Source organism: Homo sapiens, chromosome 19 (assembly GCF_000001405.40).
Source record: "Homo sapiens chromosome 19, GRCh38.p14 Primary Assembly".
NCBI lineage: Eukaryota > Metazoa > Chordata > Mammalia > Primates > Hominidae > Homo > Homo sapiens.
In genome coordinates, this window is record NC_000019.10 from 38,815,422 (window position 1) to 38,835,090 (window position 19,669).

Sequence of the window (19,669 nt, forward strand, 5' to 3'; positions counted from 1 at the left end):
TTCTTTACTTTGCTTTATTGTTTGTGGGGTGAAGATAAGGCCTTGGGCTTGAGAAACTCATTGTCATAAAGTTATAAACTGGGAAACTGGGTCAGAAGGCATAGAAACAACTGTCATCGCCCATCCTCCCTTTCTGTGGATGAGGCGGGACAAGGCCGGCCCCCTGGCTGGGGCCTGGGACGCGAGGGCTCTCAGAGCTTGGAGAAGGTGACGGTTTTCAGTTCCTTGTTCTCAGTCGTGGCCTGGACCGACTTCACGAGGTCTTGGGTCTGCAGCATGCTCATGTTCCAGGACGCCTGGTACCGAGGGTGTTGAGAGAGAACGAGGAGAGAGATTAGCAGGGGCCAATCAGGATAAAGCATGAGAGCACCCTGCACCCTGGTTGGTCGCCTGGGGTTAGAGGAGGGCTGTGATTGGTCGGAGCGTGCACCTTACCACGTAGTTGAGGCTCTCGGCCACCGAATGGTCGCGGGAATACAGCAGGTTGACCTTGGTGCTCTGCACCGCCACGGGGCTCTTGCTGGAAATCTCGGCCGCCAGCGCTAAGGCAGCATCCAGCATGACCTCTTTGTCTGGGAACACCCGGCTGCAGTGAAAGAGATCAGGGACCGGGTGGGCTGGGAAGGGCTCTCTCCTCCAGCCTCCCGCAGATGAAGAAGTGGCCACTCACAGAGGAAGGCCCAAGACCCCAGAGAAACAGCCCAATCAGAGCAGGGGGCTGACCCCACAATAAAGAAATGAGCTCACCAAGAAAGGATGCCACTAGGAATTCTAGAGCGAGGAGACAAGGGGACCCGGAGAGGCCTCCAACCCTCCAGGCCTGGCTGCCCCCAGCACTGAGCTACCACGGCCATGGCCCTACCTGACCAGCCCACTGCCCAGGGCCTCGTCAGCCATCATCTTGCGGGCGGTGAAGGCCAGCTCGTTGACCAGGCTGCAAAGGCAAGCGTGCATCAGGAGGCGGCTGCCACCCCGGGGCTGGGAGATGCTCTGGGGTCTCCTGCCCACACCCCCACACCCCCTGCACCCACCTCTGGTTCCCGATGACCTTGGGCAGGCGCTGCAGTGTTCCTACATCGGCAGCCAAACCCACGTCCACCTCCTGGGGGAGGAATCGGGTCAGTGTTTGGTTTCTGCCCAATACTGTGCCCCTCGCAATGTCAACGTCCATGAAATTTCATGTCTACTGGAGAGTCCCGCCCCACCTTCACCCCAGTGACTTCCTCCAAAGTCCCATTCCATTGCCCAGGCAGCTTCTTGACTCAGGCAAGTTCCTTCAACCTAGAATAGAGCCCACCTTCCCACTCATGCACCCTCCCATTCCCTCAGGGCAGCTCCATCTGTGAGAGAGGAACCCTCCTCACCCTACCTGAGACCCCTTTACTGCATCCCCCGGCTCCATCCTGCCTCCCACCCTCACCAGTATGGCCCCAGGAGCAATCTCTGCCTCTGACACCTGCCAGCCTCAACCCCACCTCATACCTTACCCACTCACAACTTCACCTCTTGACTTCCTCTATGGGCAAGTCTTACTTTGTCGGGTTCAACTCCGACTCTTCCATGAAGCCCTCGAGGCTCACTCCAGGCCCCCCAACCTCACCCCACTGCCCAGCTCTAAGCAGGAGCTCGGGAGGATGACTCACCTTCACCTGGAAGAAAGCATCCTGGGCACAGTACCGGATGTCACAGGCGGTGACAAGGTCCACACCTAGGAGGTAGAGGCCAGGGATGCTGAATGACCACCAGAACCAACCCTGGCTCCCGGGAGGTGGGGCTGCCTCTTGGGACACAGTCTGGCCCATGACAGAGCTGAGGCTGGATGCCAGTGGCCGCGGCATCGGAGCAGCAGCCCCACCTGGGGAGCACCCGAGCAGGAGGATAGCCGCAGACTCACCTCCGCCAATGCAGCCCCCATGGACGGCAGCAATCACGGGCTTGGGGCACTGAGAGGGAACAGGAAGAGTGGGGTCAGGGCTGGCCCAGGGGAGGCGCGTATGGAGAAAGATCCCCTCCAGACCCCTAGAGTCACCCTCTCGATGACGTTGAAGGTCTCCTGGTATCGAGTGATGATGTCACGGAGGTACCAGCTGATCCGGGCCACATCATCTCCTTTGGGCTGCAGGATGTCCGAAGCCATGTCCATCAGGTCAATACCTGGTGAGAAGGCATGATGGAGCTCATCCAGGCTCCCAGGCCCCACCCATTGACTCAACCAGGGATCAGAACCCAGGCACAGCAGGTTCGAACCCCCAAACCACCAAGGCGGAAAAAAAACAACTCACACAGGACTTGGTGAGGGATTGATTGCATGTTGGGTGGGAAGGAAATAAAAGCTAATATTTGTGGAGTCATTACTCACAGAATCCTCACAGCAACCGTACCAGCTAGGTCCTATTACTATTTGTGTTACCAATGGGTAAACTAAGGCACAGAGAGGTTAAGCACTTGCCCAAGGGGGTCACACTGGCTGGTGAGTAGTGAGTAATGAACTATTTAAATTAACTCATTAATGTTTTTAGAGACAGGGTCTCACTCTGTTATACCAGCTAGAGTGCAGTGGCACGATCATGGCTCACTGCAGCCTCGAACTCCCAGGTTCAAGCAATCCTCCCACCTCAGCCTCCTGAGTGGCTGGGACTGTGCCGAGGCTGCTCTTGAACTCCTGGGCTCAAGCGATCCTCCCACCTTGGCATCCCAAAGCACTGGGATTACACGTGTGAGCCACCATGCCGCATCAGAAGTAGGATTTTAAAATCTGGAACCATGCAGCTGGCTCCAGAGGCCATGCTTTTCCCCAAGATGCCAGACAGCCTGGGACTCAAGGTCTGCAGCGTGAGCAATGCAGTCAATGGTGGTGATGTTTCCTGAGATGAGAAACATCTCACGATGCAGCAATTTCTGTGGCTCCAACTTCAAGATGATCCTGAATCTGACCTTTCCTGCATCAGTTGTTCTCCATGAGCCCACCCTGCTCTCCCTGTTTCCACCTGTGTCCCCAGTCTATTCCCTACAGGCAGCCAGGGGAAGCCAGTGGACACCTTCTTGGGTCAGATCCTCTTTTTTTTTATTTTATTTTTTTTATTTCAGACAGAGTCTCGCTCTTGTCGCCCAGGCTGGAGTGCAGTGGCAGGATCTCGGCTCAATGCAACCTCCGCCTCCCGGTTCAAGTGATTCTCCTACCTCAGCCTCCCAAGTAGCTGGGATTACAGGCGCCCACCACCATGCCCGGCTAATTTTTGTATTTTTAGTAGAGACGGGGTTTTGCCATGTTGGCCAGGCTAGTCTCAAACTCCTGACCTTGTGATCCACCCACCTCGGCCTCCCAAAGTGCTGGGATTACAGGCGTGAGCCACCGTGCCCGGCCCAGACCCTCTTTTTCCCACCTGTGGCTCTTAGAACAAAATGGAACGTCCTTGTCATGACTACCCTGCATGAACACTGTTCCCAACCTGTTACTTTGGGCACACTGGCCTCCAACTCTGTGTGTGTGTGTGTGTGTGTGTGTGTGTGTGCACTGTTCCCAACCTGTTACTTTGGGCACACTGGTCTCCAACTCTGTGTGTGTGTGTGTGTGTGTGTGTGTGTGTGCGGGCACGTGCATTTGAGCCCAGGAGTTGGAGGCTGCGGTCAGCTATGATCGCACCACTGCACTCCAGCCTGGGCGACAGAGCAAGACCCTGGCTCAAAAATAAAAAATAAAAAGAAAAGAAAATGGCAGGACAGAGAGGTGAAAAGACAAGTGGAAATAGGATCCAGATCACTGCCTGAGGGCTGTGCAGTGGTACAGAATCTTCTCATTGAGAAGGTGACCTTGAGTAAAGACCCAGAGGAGAGGGAGGGAGCCAAGGACCTTTGGGCTGACAACCATCCCTCCCTCTTCAACAGCCACAGACTGACTCCTTCACTTCCTTCAGCTATAGCTCAAAGGTCACCTCCTAGAGAGGCCCTCCCTGGCCAACCTGGCTCAACGATGGCCCCATCCCCCGCATCCTGACCCCGCCTTACCTCCGGGCTGCACAGCTGCTATCCTATAATTAGGTCCTTATCTGCTTGAGGGTCTGACTCCCTTTCTAGAATGTGAGCTCTGAGAACACAGGAGTTTTTGTCTTTCTGTCCACTGCTGCATCCCCTGGGCCTAGCACAGGGCCTGGCGCACACGAGCTGCTCAATAAATGATCAATACAGACAACAGTCCCTGTCCTCATGGGGAGGCAAACAAATGAATAAAAAAGTATATTTTGGGGCTGGGCGTAGTGGCTCACACCTGCAATCCCAGCACTTTGGAAGGCAGAGGCAGGAGGATGGCTTGAGGCTAAGATTTTGAGAACAGCCTGGGCAACATTGCAAGACCTCTTCTCTACAAACAATGAAAAAATTAGCTGCACATGAGGCTGGGCATGGTCACCTGTAATCCCAGCACTTTCGGAGGCTGAGGTGGGCGGATCGTTTGAGCCCAGGAGTTGCAGGCTGCGGTCAGCTATGATCGCGCCACTGCACTCCAGCCTGGGCGACAGAGCAAGACCCTGGCTCAAAAATAAAAAATAAAAAGAAAAGAAAATGGCAGGACAGAGAGGTGAAAAGACAAGTGGAAATAGGATCCAGATCACAGCCTGAGGCCAAAGTCCCCCTTACTTTTTTTTTTTTTTTTTTTTTTTTTGAGATGTAGTCTCACTCTATCGCCCAGGCTGGCGTGTAGTGGCGCGATCTCGGCTCACTGCAAGCTCCGCCTCCTGGGTTCACGCCATTCTCCTGCCTCAGCCTCCCTAGTAGCTGGGACTACAGGCGCCTGCCACCATGCCCGGCTAATTTTTTACATTTTTAGTAGAGACGGGGTTTCACTGTGTTAGCCAGGATAGTCTCCATTTCCTGACCTCGTGATCCGCCTGCCTCAGCCTCCCAAAGTGCTGGGATTACAGGTGTGAGCCACGGCGCCCGGCAATCCCCCTTACTTTTAACCAGCATGCCAGCTACTCAGATGACAGACATTTAGCAGCTAAGAGCAAGGACTCTATAGCCAGGCAGCATGAGTTCCAAAATCCCAGCTCTGCCACTTACAAGCTGTGATTATTGGGTAAGTTTCTTGCTCTCTGGATCTGTTTCACCTTTAAATGGGGCTTATAGCAGAACCTGTCTTGTGGACTGTGATTAGAATTAATATGTTTAACGTGCTTAGAAAGGGGCGTCACACACCATGAGTGCTACATAATTGTGGCCACCTTTTTCTTTCTCTAATTAGTAGTTCTACTCTATCACTGGGTCACTGCATGACCTGCCGTTTCTTCCTTCTGGCCTTCGGGGTCTTGCTGCTGAAAATAAGATAAGACGGCCACATTCAGCTGGGAGCTGAAAGATGAAGGACCTGGGCCCGGCACAGCCACAAAAAAGCCCCATTTTTCTGTTCTCAGACATGATCTCTATGAGAGCAAGGGGTCAGGAATCGGGGCTGCTTCCCGTTTCCACATCTGCAGCACCCAGGAGGGGGCTCTGGCACTGGACTGTGTCACTGAATGTTTGTCAAATGAATGAACAAATGAACAAGAGGAGGAACAGAGGGAGATGCAGAAAGAAAGCAGGAGGCTGGGTGCGGTGGCTCATGCCTGTGATCCCAGCACTTTGGGAGGCTGAGGCAGGAGGATCGCTTTAGATCAGGGGTTCGAGACCAGCCTGGGCAACATAGCAAGCCCTGCCTCTACAAAAAGTGAAAAAACTTGCTGTGCATGGTGGTGCACACCTGTGGTCCCAGCTACTTGAGGGGCTGAAGTGGGAGGATGAGGGGAGGTGGTAGGGGCTGAGGTGGGAGGGGTTGAGCTCAGGAGGTGGAGGCTGCAGTGAGCTGAGATTGCTCCACTGCATTCCAGCCTGGGTGACAGAGGGAGACCCTGTCTCAAAAATGAAAGAAAGAGAGAGAGAAGGAAGTGAGAGGTGACAGCATGCTGGCAGCCCTTGCTCGCTGGCCTCAGAGCCCACTCTGGCCATGCTTGAGGAGCCCTTCAGCCTGCTGCTGCACTATGGGAGCCCCTCTCTGGGCTGGCCAAGATCGGAGCCGGCTCCCTCTGCTTGCAGGGAGGTGTGGAGGGAGAGGCGCGGGCGGGAACCCAGGCTGCACGCAGTGCTCTCCGGCCAGCGCAAGTTCCGGGTGGGTGTGAGCTCGGCGACCCCGCACTCGGAGTGGTGGGCCGGCGCCACCTGCCCTGAGCAGTGAGGGGCTTAGCACCTGGGCCAGCAGCTGCGGAGGGTACACCGGGTCCCCCAGCAGTGCCGGCCCGCTGGTGCTGCACTCGAATACTTGCCGGGCCTCAGCTGCCTCCCTGTGGGGCAGGGCTTGGGACCTGCAGCCTGCCATGCCCGAGCCTCCCCCCGCCGCCGTGGGCTCCTGCACAGCCCGAGCCTCCCCGAGGAGCGCCACCCCCTGCTCGGCGGCGCCTGGTCCCATCAACTGCCCAAGGGCTGAGGAGTGCTCCGCCTGCGGCCCTGGTGCAGGATCCACTGGGTGAAGCCAGCTGAGCTCCTGAGTCTAGTGGGGATTTGGAGAACATTTATGTCTAGCTGAGGGACTGTAAATGCACCAATCAGCACTCTGTATCTAGCTAATCTGGTGGGGACTTGGAGAACGTTTATGTCTAGCTAAGGGATTGTAAATACACCAATCAGCACTCTGTTTCTAGCTCAAGGTTTGTAAATGCACCAATCAGCACCCTGTGTCTAGCTCAAGGTTTGTAAATGCACCAATCAATGCTCTGTGTCTAGCTCATCTGGTGGGGACTTGGAGAAACTTTATGTCTAGCTAAGGGATTGTAAACAACCAATCAGCACTCTGTGTCTAGCTCAAGGTTTGTAAATGCACCAATCAGCACCCTGTGTCTAGCTCAAGGTTTGTAAATGCACCAATCAGCACTCTGTATCTAGCTAATCTGGTGGGGACTTGGAGACTCTTTATGTCTAGCTAAGGGATTGTAAACAACCAATCAGCACTCTGTGTCTAGCTCAAGGTTTGTAAATGCACCAATCAGCACCCTATGTCTAGCTCAAGGTTTGTAAATGCACCAATCAGCACTCTGTATCTAGCTAATCTGGTGGGGACTTGGAGAATCTTTATGTCTAGCTAAGGGATTGTAAATACACCAATCAGCACTGTGTGTCTAGCTCAAGGTTTGTAAATACACCAATCAGCACCCTGTGTCTAGCTCAAGGTTTGTAAATGCACCAATCAGTGCTCTGTGTCTAGCTAATCTAGTGGGGACTTGGAGAAGTTTTGTGTCTAGCTCAGGGATTGTAAACGCACCAGTCAGCACCCTGTCAAAATGGACCAATCAGCTCTCTGTAAAACAGACCAATCAGCTCTCTGTAAAACGGACCAACCAGCAGGATGTGGGTGGGGACAGATAAGGGAATAAAAGCAGGCTGTCCGAGCCAGCAGTGGCAACCCACTCACGTCCCCTTCCATGCTATGGAAGCTCTGTTCTTTTGCTCTTTGCAATAAATCTTGCTGCTGCTCACTCTTTGGGTCCACACTGCCTTTATGAGCCATAACACTCACCGCGAAGGTCTGCAACTTCTCTCCAGAGGCCAGCAAGACCACGAACCCACTGGGAGGAATGAACAACTCCGGACGGGAGGAACGAACCACTCTGGACGCACCGCCTTAAGAGCTATAACACTCACTGCGAAGGTCTGCAGCTTCATTCCTGAAGCCAGCGAGACCACGAACCCACCAGAAGGAAGAAACTCTGAACACACCCAAACATCAGAAGGAACAAACTCCGAACACATCAGAAGGAACAAACTGCGGACATGCCGCCTTTAAGAACTGTAACACTCACCACGAGATTCTGCGGCTTCATTCTTGAAGTCAGTGAGACCAAGAACCCACCAATTCCGGATACATTTTGGTGACCCAGATGGGACTATTACCTATCGCCAAGCGGTGAGACCACTGCCTATCGCTGAGCGGTGAGACTATCACCTATCGCCAAGCAGTGAGTACCACTGGACCCCTTTCACTTGCTATTCTGTCCTATTTTTCCTTAGAATTTGGGGGCTAAATACCAGGCACCTGTCTGCCAGTTAAAAGTGACTAGCATGGCCGCTGGACTAAAGACATGGGTGTCAGGCTTTCTGGGAAAGGGCTCTCTAACAACTCCCGACTCTTTGGAGTTGGGAGCGTTGGTTTGCCTAGAACCAGCTTCTGCTTTTCCTGTACTTCTGGGCTGAGCCGAGGGTCGACAGAGAGGAAAGCCATGCAGCTCTAGGGTCCCGACAAGACAACAAGTTCGTTGACCCTGCAGCCATGAGCGGAACACTCAAAGGCATGTCGCCCAAGCGAGACTCGCCCATCTATCCTATCTATCCTGACTCTTGCCCCCGGGTCCTAATGCCTGCCAGACAAACTTCCTCTCACCTCTCTTCTCCGAGTTTAGTCCTGCTTCTAAAATTTGCTGTCTCTGGTGCTTTTCTAGTTTCTCCTATAAGAACGACTTCTAGAACTCTGTTACATTCTTTAGGCACCCAGGCTCACCAATCAGAAAGACATAATTTTTGCCCAAAGCCCTGTCATAGTGGCGACTACCTGGAATTTTACGATCCCTCCTCAGACTAACAGGCCTAACAAAGGTATTCCTGAAGCTAGGATATGGGGAGCCTCAGAAATTGTAGCTTTCCTATTCATATAAGTGAGGACAAAAGGTGTCACTCTTCCAACCCTGGAGATCCCTTCCCTCCCTCAGGGTATGGCCCTCCACTTCATTTTTGGGGCATAACATCTTTATAGGACAGGGGTAAAGTCCCAATACTAACAGGAGAATGCTTAGAACTCTAACAGGTTTTCAAGAATGCGTCGGTAAGGGCCACTAAATCCGACCTTCCTTGGTCCTCCATGTGGTCTGAGAGGAAAACTAGTGTTTCTGCTGCTGCGTTGATGAGCACAACTATTCCGATCAGCAGGGTACAGGGACTGTTGCAGTTTCTTGGGCAGGGGGAGAAACAAAACAAACCAAAACCGCGGGTGGTTTTGTCTTTCAGATGGGAAACATTCAGCCATCAACAGGCTCACCCTTGAAATGCATCCTAAGCCGTTGGGACCAATTTGACCCATAAACCCTGAAAAAGAGGAGGCTCATTTTTTTTCTGCACTATGGCCTGGCCCCAGTATTCTCTCTCTGATGGGGAAAAATGGCCACCTGAGGGAAGTACAAATTACAATACTATCCTGCAGCTTGACCTTTTCTGTAAGAGGGAAGGCAAATGGAGTGAAATACCTTATGTCCAAGCTTTCTTTTCATGGAGGGAGAATACACAACTATGCAAAGCTTACAATTTACATCCCACAGGAGGACCTCTCAGCTTACCACCATATCCTAGCCTCCCTATAGCTCCCATTCCTATTAATGATAATCTTCCTCTAATCTCCCCTGCCCAGAAGGAAATATGCAAAGAAATCTCCAAAGGACCACAAAACCCTCCTGGCTATTGGTTATGTCCCCTTCAAGCTGTAGGGGGAGGGGAATTTGGTCCCACCCGGGTACATGTCCCCTTCTCCATCTCTGATTTAAAGCAGATCAAGGCAGACCTGGGGAAGTTTTCAGATGATCCTGATAGGTACATACATGCCCTACAGGGTCTAGGGCAAACTTTCGACCTCGCTTGGAGAGATGTCATGCTACTGTTAGATCAAACCCTGGCCTTTAATGAAAAGAATGCAGCTTTAGCTGCAGCCTGAGAGTTTGGAGATACCTGGAATCTTAATCAAGTAAATGATAGAATGACACCTGAAGAAAGGGACAAATTCCCTATCGGTCAGCAAGCCATCCCCAGTATGGATCCCCACTGGGACCTTGACTTAGATCATGGGGACTGGAGTCGTAAACATCTGTTGACCTGTGTTCTAGAAGGACTAAGGAGAATTAGAAAAAGCCCATGAATTATTCAATGATGTCCACCATAACTCAGGGAAAGGAAGAAAATCCTTCTGCCTTCCTCGAGCAGCTATAGGAGGCCTTAAGAAAATATACTCCCCGGTCACCCGAATCACTCAAGGGTCAATTGATTCTAAAAGATAAGTTTATTATCCAATCAGCCGCAGATATCAGGAGAAAGCTCCAAAAGCAAGCCCTGGGCCCTGAACAAAATTTGGAGGCATTATCAAAACCTGGCAACCTCAGTGTTCTATAATAGGGACCAAGAGGAACAGGCCCAAAAGGAAAAGTGAGATTGGAGAAAGGCCGCAGCCTTAGTTATGGCCCTCAGACTAACAAACCTTAGTGGTTCAGAGAGGACAGATAGTAGAGGCCAATCACCCGGTAGGGCTTGTTATCATGCGGTTTACTAGGACACTTTAAAAAAGATTGTCCAATGAGAAACAAGCTGCCCCCTCGTCCATGTCCACTATGCCGAGGCAATCACTGGAAGGTGCACTGCCCCAGCGGACGAAGGTTCCCTAGGTCAGAAGCCCCCAACCAGATGATCCAACAACAGGACAGAGGGTGCCCGGGGCAAGCGCCAGCTCATGTCATCACCCTCACTGAGCCCCGGGTACGTTTAACCATTGAGGGCCAGGAAACTGACTTCCTCCTGGACACTGGCGCGGCCTTCTCAGTGTTAATCTCCTGTCCTGGACGACTGTCCTCAAGGTCTGTTACCATCCGATGAATCCTGGGACAGCCTGTAACCAGGTATTTCTCCCACCTCTCAGTTGTAATTGGGAGACTTTGCTCTTTTCACATGCCTTTCTTATTATGCCTGAAAGTTCCACACCCTTATTAGGCAGGGACATATTAGCCAAGGCTGGAGCTATTATCTACATCAATATGGGGAACAAGTTACCCATTTGTTGTCCCCCTACTTGTGGAGGGAATCAACCCTGAAGTCTGGGCATTGGAAGGACAATTTGGAAGGGCAAAAAATGCCCGCCCATTACAAATCAGGTTAAAAGATCCCACTGCTTTTCCTTATCAAAGGCAATATCCCTTAAAGCCTGAAGCTCATAAACGATTACAGAATATTGTTAAACATTTAAAAGCTCCAGGCTTAGTAAGGAAATGCAGCAGTCCCTACAACACCCCAATTCTAGGAGTACAAAAACTAAATGGTCAGTGGAGACTAGTGCAAGATCTTAGACTCATCAATGAGGCAGTAATTTCTCTATATCCAGCTGTAACCAACACCTATACCCTGCTCTCTCAAATAACAGAGGCAGCAGAATGGTTCACAGTTCTAGACCTCAAGGATGCCTTCTTCTGTATTCCCCTACACTCTGACTCCCAGTTTCTCTTTGCCTTTGAGGATCCCACAGACCACACGTCCCAAATTATGTGGACGGTCTTGCCCCAAGGGTTTAGGGATAGGCCTCATCTGTTTGGTCAGGCACTGGCCCAAGATCTAGGCCACTTCTCAAGTCCAGGCACTCTGGTCCTTCAATATATGGATGATTTACTTTTGGCTCCCAGTTCAGAAGCCTCGAGCCAGCAGGCTACTCTAGATCTCTTGAACTTTCTCGCTAATCAAGGGTACAAGGTGTCTAGGTCAAAGGCCCAGCTTTGCCTACAGCAGGTCAAATATCTAGGCCTAATCTTAGCCAGAGGGACCAGGGCCCTCAGCAAGGATGGAGAGGGAGGACAGGGAGGAGAGGGAGAAGGAGGGGAAGGAGGGGAAGGAGGAAGGGAGGAGAGGGAGGGAGGGGAAGGAGGAAGGGAGGAGAGGGAGGGAGGGGAGGGAGAAAGGGGAGGGAAAGAAAGAAAGGGACCTGGGAATATGTTAATGGACAAAACAGAAAGAAATAGTTTACTGTCTGTCTTCCCCACTGAGTTGGGAACGCCATGACAACAGGGCCTGGGACTGTCCTAGTCAAGACTGGGTTCCCAGCACCAGGCTCTGGGCCCTGTGCAGAAATCAGTGTATGAAATATTTTGCTTCTGGTTCAGTCCTAAAGGGCCAACCCTCCCACGGACAACTACATACGCTGGCTGGACAAGAAACAAACAATTATCTGAAGGCACTGGGCAGATTCTGGAGGGAGTGACCACTTAGGAGAGTGGCAGAACACTCTCTCGGTGTTTTTGAAAATGGTTTTGAAAACTTTCAGCCTGAGGGCAGACTGAAATTGTGCTTGAAGAGCCACAGGATAGAGTCCAAGGTGACCAAAGCTGCCGGGAAGTGAGGGGGGATATTCCAAAGAGGGGAGAGCCAGAGCGAGGAGTCCCGAATTCTGTGTATCAACTCTGCCCTAATCTCTTGCTGGGAGATGTATGTTTTTGTTGTTGTTTTTGTTTTGAGATGGGTTCTTGCACTGTCACCCAGGCTGGGTGCAGTGGCACGACCACAGCTCACTGCAGTTTTGACCTCCCTGGTTCGAGCCATCCTCCCACCTCAGCCTCCAGAGTAGCTGGGAGTGTGGTCATTCATCACACCCAGCTAATTTTTGTTAGAGACAAGGTCTCAGTGTGTTGCCCTGGCTGAAGATTAGTTTTTAAATCTTTTGCTGGGGGTGCATGTATGGTCTGTAAATCAGCAAGAAGCCAGGCACAGTGGTTCACGCTTGTAGTCCCAGCACATTGGGAGGCCGAGTCAGGAGGATCGCTTGAGTTCAAGAGTTGAAGACCAGACTGGGCAACATAGCAAGACCTCATCTCTACAAAAAAATAAAAATAAAAACAGAAAAACCAAAAAAACTAATTCCAACTAAGCTACCAAAACACGAAACTCAACACTCTTTGGAACTATATGATAGAATCCAGAGTATCCACATCTTATTCCTATATCCCAATATCCAAGAAACAATCCAAACTAACTCAAAATACAAAGAAACAGGAAAGTGAAGCCGTTTTCTTTTTTTTGAGACAGAGTCTCGCTCTTGTCACCAAGGCTGGAGTGCAATGGCGTGATGTAGGCTCACTGCAACCTCTGCCTCCTGGGTTCAAGCGATTCTCCTGCCTCAGGCTCTCCAGCAGCTGGGATTACAGGCATGCACCACCACGCCGGGAAAATTTTTGTATTTTTAGTACAGACGGGGTTTCACCATGTTGGCCAGGCTAGTCTTGAACTCCTGACCTCAAGTGATCCACCCACCTCAGCTTCCCAAAGTGCTGGGATTACAGGCATGAGCCACTGAGCCCAGCCTGCCATTTCCAAGCGAAAAGATGATAAGGAGACTGACCCCAAGATGACCCAGATGTTGAGATTAGAAGATAAGGAGTTTTTGTTTTGTTTTTATTTTGTTTTTAGAGGGAGTCTCGCTATGTCACCCAGGCTGGAGTGCAGTGGCGCCATCTCGGCTCACTGCAACCTCTGCCTCCCAGGTTCACGCCATTCTCCTGCCTCAGCCTCCCGAGTAGCTGGGACTAAAGGTGCCCGCCACCATGCCTGGCTAATATTCTTTTTTTTTATTTTTAGTAGAGATGGGGTTTCACCATGTTAGCCAGGATGGTCTCGATCTCCTGACCTCGTGATCCGCCTGCCTCGACCTCCCAAAGTGCTGGGATTACAGGCGTGAGCCACCACACCTGGCCAGAAGACAAGGATTTTAAATCAGTCATTATAACTATGCTCAATGGCAGGAAGAAAAACATGCATGACAAAAAATATACAACTGACCAGGCACAGTGGCTCACGCCTGTAATCCCAGCACTTTGGGAGGCCGAGGGGGGCCGATCACTGGAGGCCAGGAGTTCAAGACCCGCCTGGCCAAAATGGTGAGACCCCGTCTCTACTAAAAATATAAAAATTAGCCAGGCGTGGTGCCGGGTGCCTGTAATCACAAGTACTCAGGAGGCTCAGGCAGGAGAATGGCTTGAATCTGGGAGGTGGAGGTTGCAGTGAGCCCAGACTGCACCACTGTACTCCAGCCTGGTCAACAGAGTGAGACTCCTTCTCCAAAAAAAAAAAAAAAAAAAAAAAAAATTAGCTAGGCCTGGTGGCGGGCATCTGTAATCCCAGCTATGCAGGAGGCTGAGGCAGGAGAATTGCTTCAACCCAGGAGGCAGATGTTGCAATGAGCCAAAATTGCATCACTATACTCCAGCCTGGGTGACAAAGCGAGACTCTGTCTCAAAATAAATGAATAAATAAAATAAAATAAAATATGAACCAAATGGAAATTGGAGAATTGAAAACTACAATATCTGGGCTGGGCGTGGTAGCTCACGCCTGTAATCTCAGCACTTTTGGAGGCCGAGGCGGGCAGATCACGAGGTCAGGAGATCGAGACCATCCTGGCTAACACGGTGAAACCCCGTTTCTACTAAAAACACAAAAACTTAGCTGGGTGTGGTGGCAGGCACTGGTGGTCCCAGTACTCGGGAGGCTGAGGCAGAAGAATGGCCTGAACCCGGGAGGCAGAGCTTGCAGCGAGCCGAGATCGCACCACTGCACTCCAGCCTGGGTGACAGAGCGACTCTGTCTCAGAAAAAAAAAAAAAAGAAAGAAAACTACAATATCTGAAATTTAAAATCAGTGGGTAGTAGCTGGGCACGGTGGCTCACGCCTATCATCCTAGCACTTTGGGAGGCCCTAGGTGGGTGGATGACCTGAGGTCAGGAGTTTAAGACCAGCCTGGCCAACATGGTAAAACTCCGTCTCTACTAGAAACACAAAAAATTAGCCGGGCGTGGTGGCGGGCACTTGTAACCCCAGCTACTTGGGTGGCTGTGGCAGGAGAATCACTTGAACCCAGGAAGCAGAGGTTGCAGTGAGTTGAGATTGCACCATTGCAACAAAAGCAAAACTCCGTCTGAAACAAAATAAAACAAAATAAATCACTGGATGGGCTTTACAGAAGGATAGAGATGACTAAACAGTTAGTAACTGTGACCAGTGGAAATTCTCCAATCTGAAGAAAAGGTCAGTGGGTCAATCCAAAGATCCAACTGACCTGTAACTGGAAATCAATTAGTGAGTTGAATAGTTGCACGAAAGCATGTTATTATATTATATGCTGACACAGCTATAGGCTGAGAGGTTAAGCATGTTGTTCATGGCCACAGATCCAGGATGGAAACCTAGACTTCAGAGCCTATGATCCCATCGTGTTCTGTCAGACTAATACTTATATTTGAATGTTTTAAAGTAGGCCTTTTTTTAAAAAAATGATAGGGCTGGCCATGGTGGCACCTGCCTGTAATCCCAGCATTTTGGCAGGCTGAGGTGGGAGAATCGCTTGACCTCAGGTATTTGAGGTTACAGTGATTTATGATTAGGCAACTGTACTCCAGCCTGGGTGACAGAGAAAGATATTGTCTCCAAAAAAAAAAAAAAAAACACACAGATAAAAGTGTGAGTTAGGGGCCAGGAGCAATGGTTCAGGCCTATAATCCCAGCACTTTGGGAGGCTGAGGCAGGCAGATCATAACGTCAGGAGATGGAGACCATCCTGGCCAATATGGTGAAACCCCGTCTCTACTAAAAATACAAAAATTAGCTGGGTGTGGTGGCCCACGCCTGTAGTCCCAGACAGAAGAATTGCTTGAACCCGGGAGGTGGAGGTTGCAGTGAGCTGAGATTGCGCTACTGCACTCCAGCGTGGCAACAGAGCAAGACCCCGTCTCAAAAAAAAAAAAAAAAAGTGTGTAAGTCAGAAGCTGCTTAAAACCCTAATTCAGAAGCACTGCTCCACTGTCTATTGCCAGGAGCTAGGAAGGCTGGCAGGGTGTGTGAAGAGCGTCTGGTACCTGCAGTGAACATTTTTCCTGCACCAGAGATCACCACCGCCCGACAGTCAGCGTCTCTCGAAATCTTGTTGAAGCACTCTACCATCTCTCTGTGAAGCAACGAGTGAAGGGTTACAAATGGGGCGGGAATACCCTGCCCTCATGTCCATCTTCCCACAACGTTCCACTTTCACCCAGTCCCGCAGCCCCGCCTCCCCCCGCAGGCAGGCCTCCAGGATCTGCAGGTCAGACCTCCAGAAGACCTTGTTCATGGCATTCCTCTTGTTGGGCCGGTTGAGCTGGACATGCAGAACATGTTTCTGCGCAGACGTCACACGAAGGGACTCATAGCTGTGGTCTGGGGCTTCACCGAGGGCTACTCCGGAAGCCTCCTCTTGTGCAGAGGAGCCAGTGAGGCGAAGGCTAATACTGAGTCCCGGGTAGTTGGAGCCTGTCAGTCCTGGGGAGAAAGGAACAGCCTTTGATGACCCCAGACTGCAAGACACAGGCCTATCGAATTAGGGAGTCCTTCAAAAGGGAGCACACGCACCCCTGAATTTAGGGGACTCGGGCCCTTCGTGACCCCGGATAGCCCTCCCCGTCCTACATCTGCTATAACAGCACGACAGCGCGACGCACCCCCATAAGGCAAGAGGTGACTCACGCCGGGTCAGTAGGTCGCGGAGTCTGCGAGAAGCCACTATCCCCGCCGCCATCGCCGCCGCCTTCGTCTACTGCGTTCGGACGGAGTAACGTGCCCGTTAGCGGAGGGGGCGGGCACAGAAGGCCGCCATGTTGAGCGAGGGCACCGATGCCGCAACCTGACAGGCAATGACGCCGTTCTTTCCGCCATCTTTACTAAGGGCAGTCGATTTCCGGTTGCCTTACATAGAGCCAGGCTCAGAAATGGACCCTTTGCCCCAGTGGGAACCTGGCCAAAGAAAATAGCTCCTGCAATGGCGTGAACCTGGGAGGCGGAGTTTGCAGTGAGCCGAGATCGCGCCATTGCTCTCCAGCCTGGCGACCGAGCGACACTCCGTCTTAAAAAAAACAAAACAAACAAACAAAAAAAAAAACAGAAAAGCAAACAGCTCCCGCTAAAGTTCATCACACAGCTGTTTCATAATGGTGGAATAATAGGCGACAGCTGAAATGTCCAAGGACATAATTGCAGCAGAGCTTGTAATCATGCATGTATATATCATGTTAACTAAAAATAAAAGAAAACTTGCAGTACTGTGAGTTTACTCAGGTAAAGGAATGAGTACAGACGGGCCAACATTAAGCGCTGACTGTATAATATGAACTCCCACCAGGAGGTCGTACTATTTCCTACTATATGCAGAGGAAACTGGCCCAGGCACGGGAAGACACTAGGTTCAAGGTCGGTGGGCTTCAGAAGGGCTAAAGCAGGATTACCTGGCACCAGAGTTCATGTTCTTAGCCTGGCGCAGTGGCTCACGCCTGTAATACAAGCACTTTGGGAGGCCGAGGCAGGCGGATCACCTGAGGTCAGGAGTTCAACAGCAGCCTGGTCAACATGGCGAAACCCCGTCTCTACTAAAAATACAAAAATTAGCCGGGTGCGGTGTCCGGCACCTGTAATCCTAGCGGGAAGAGAATGGCTTGAGCCCAGGAGGCGGAGGTTGCAATGAGCAGAGATGGCACCACTGTACCCCAGCCTGGGCGACAGAGCAAGATCTCAAAAAAAAAAAAAAGAAGAAAAAAAAGTTCATGTTCTTAAAAAAAACAAACAAAACAAAAAAACCGAAATTCCCTTGGGAAAAGCCAGCTACCAAAAGGCATAAAAAGTACTGTAAAACTGCTGGCCGGGCGCGGTGGCTCACGCCTGTAATCCCAGCACTTTGGGAGGCCGTGGCGGGCAGATCACGAGGTCAGGAGATCGACCTCCTGACCTAGCTAACACAGTGAAACCCCGTCCCTACTAAAAAAATACAAAAACTTAGCGGGCATGGTGGCGGGCGTCTGTAGCCCCAGCTACTGGGGAGGCTGAGGCTGGAGAATGGCGTGAACCCCGGAGGCGGAGCTCGCAGGGAGCCGAGATGGCGCCACTGCACTCCAGCCTGGGGACAGAGCGAAACTCCATCTCAAAAAAATAAAAAAAAAAAGTACTGTAAAACTGCTTAAGTATGCTTTTTGGGGAGACATTGAGCAAGGCGGTGAACAGATGTCTCTGGGCCAGTGAGATTGAAGGAAGTATCTTTCCTTAATGAACCTGTCTCCTGTGTGTTTTCACAGACTAGAAAAGCAGGCTCTTTTGAAAGACAGAACCATTAACTACCCATCAACAGTAGACTGTTTATACCATAGAAAACTCTGAAACCTCTATGCAAAAATAAAAATGTGTGAGAAAAAAATGTGAAGATGTAATAGAACATTTAGTATGATCCTTTGTTCCTTTGGTGTAAGAAAGTATAGCTGGGCTGGGTGCGGTGGCTCAGGTCTGTAATCCCAGCACTTTAGGAGGCCCAGGCAGGCAGATCACCTCAGGTCAGGAGTTTGAGACCAGCATGGCCAACATGGTGAAACCCAATCTCTATTAAAAATATAAAAATTAGCCAGGCGTGTTGGCTCATGCCTCTAATCCCAGCACTTTGGGAGGCCAAGGCGGGTGGATCACAAGGTGAGAAGATCGAGACCATCCTGGCTAACACGGTGAAACCCCATCTCTACTAAAAATACCAAAAATTAGCCGGGCGTGGTGGCGGGCGCCTGTAGTCCCAGCTATTCGGGAGGCTGAGGCAGGAGAATGGCGTGAACCCAGGAGGCGGAGCTTGCACTGATGTGAGATCACGCCACTGCACTCCAGCCTGGGCCACAGAGCAAGACTCTGTCTAAAAAAAAAAAAAAATTAGCGGGGCGTGGTGGCAGGTGCCTGTAATCCCAGCTACTTGGGAGGCTGAGGCAGGAGAATTGCTTCAACCCAGGAGGCAGAGTTTGCAGTGAGCTGACCTCATGCCACTGCACTCCAGCACTTCAGCCTGGGTGACAGAGTGAGACAATGTCTCAAAAAAAAGAGTGTAGCTGGACCTGCACAGAATATGGTGTATGTATGTAATATCTCTGGAAGGAGACTCAAACTGGTAACAGGAAATGAAATTGGATGCTAGGAGACAAACTGGTAAAATTCACTTTTTATCACCTTGACTGGCTTAAAAACAATAAACCCTAGTTGATTTTATTTATGGCTGCAAGATGACTGTAGTTTTTCCTTGTCTAAAGATTGTTTGAAACTTCCCATAGTGAAGCAAAACTTGTTCATCTGCCAAATGATGCTTTTGTGATGTCATTAAATGTTAAAAATGTAAGGCCGGGCGCAGTGGCTCATGCCTGTATCATAGCTACTTTGGGAGGCCGAGGCCAGTGGATCTCAGGAGTTCGAGACCAGCCTAGCCAATATGGTGAAACCCCATCTCTACTAAAAATACAAAAATCAGCCAGGCATGGTGGCACATGCCTGTAATCCCAGCTACTTGGGAGGCTGAGGCAGGAGAATTGCTTGAACCAGGAGGCAGAGGTTGCAGTGAGCCAAGATTATGCCATTGCACTCCAGCCTGGGTGACAGAGCAAGACTCCATCTCAAAAAAGAAAATTTTATTCACAGTAAATTCCCCAGAGTGGGCTATTCTCAAGCACACATGCATAAACTTCAAGGTTTGTGACCTGCTCCTCTGCAGGTCACCTCTTCCCTCCAGTAGGAGTCAAAATCCTTAAACCAGGATCCTTCCGGGTGGTACCCGCCACCGCAAGGCATCTTCACAGATTTGCATCTGCAAGTGGGAAGCTATCTACCGTATGATGCAATTATATAGATCCTTTAAGTTTTGAGACATGGTCTCGCCCTTTCGCCCAGGATGGAGTATAGTGGTGCCATCACAGCTCACAGCTCAAGTGATCCTCCTGCTTCAGCCCCCATGAGTAGCTGGGACTATAGGCACAGTGTGTGCCACCATGCCCACATCATTTTTCTATATATTTTTTTCTCGAGACGGAGTTTCACTCTCGTCACTCAG

At 50.9% G+C, this 19,669-nt stretch overlaps 1 protein-coding gene and 1 long non-coding RNA gene across 3 annotated transcripts in view, besides 3 other annotated features; one reads left to right on the forward strand and one right to left on the reverse strand.

Annotated features, from left to right (window-relative positions):
- On the reverse strand, window positions 1-16,373 carry ECH1 (enoyl-CoA hydratase 1). Of its 2 annotated transcripts, none has more exons than NM_001398.3 (10): window positions 16,300-16,373; window positions 15,888-16,095; window positions 15,657-15,745; window positions 2,030-2,154; window positions 1,895-1,943; window positions 1,644-1,708; window positions 1,032-1,102; window positions 863-934; window positions 436-586; window positions 1-296 (listed from the first exon to the last, which is right to left on the reverse strand). In NM_001398.3, exons 1-10 carry the CDS (start codon window positions 16,349-16,351, stop codon window positions 192-194), a joined length of 987 nt encoding a protein of 328 aa, NP_001389.2. In that variant the 5' UTR covers window positions 16,352-16,373; the 3' UTR covers window positions 1-191. The 2 variants fall into 2 exon arrangements, with proteins under 2 accessions (NP_001389.2, XP_016881937.1); XM_017026448.2 differs by having other exon boundaries at window positions 16,275-16,373.
- Window positions 334-534: a silencer, noted in NCBI's record as "peak3474 fragment used in MPRA reporter construct". NCBI's record gives its function as "represses an SCP1 promoter by STARR-seq MPRAs in K562 erythroleukemia cells {active_cell/tissue: K562}" and the evidence as "EXISTENCE:reporter gene assay evidence [ECO:0000049][PMID:32103011]".
- Window positions 7,419-19,669, forward strand: part of LOC124904712 (uncharacterized) — a 17,012-nt gene continuing 4,761 nt past the window's right edge. The window contains exon 1 of the long non-coding RNA XR_007067252.1: window positions 7,419-7,976. This is a non-coding gene — a long non-coding RNA (uncharacterized LOC124904712). The remainder of the gene's footprint in view (window positions 7,977-19,669) is intronic.
- Window positions 8,752-9,309: an enhancer, noted in NCBI's record as "OCT4-NANOG hESC enhancer chr19:39314813-39315370 (GRCh37/hg19 assembly coordinates)". NCBI's record gives its function as "activates a minimal SCP1, AML or CMV promoter by ChIP-STARR-seq in naive and primed H9 embryonic stem cells {active_cell/tissue: H9 hESC(naive and primed)}" and the evidence as "EXISTENCE:reporter gene assay evidence [ECO:0000049][PMID:30033119]".
- Window positions 16,272-16,421: an enhancer, noted in NCBI's record as "active region_14594". NCBI's record gives its function as "activates an Ori minimal core promoter by ATAC-STARR-seq in GM12878 lymphoblastoid cells {active_cell/tissue: GM12878}" and the evidence as "EXISTENCE:reporter gene assay evidence [ECO:0000049][PMID:35858748]".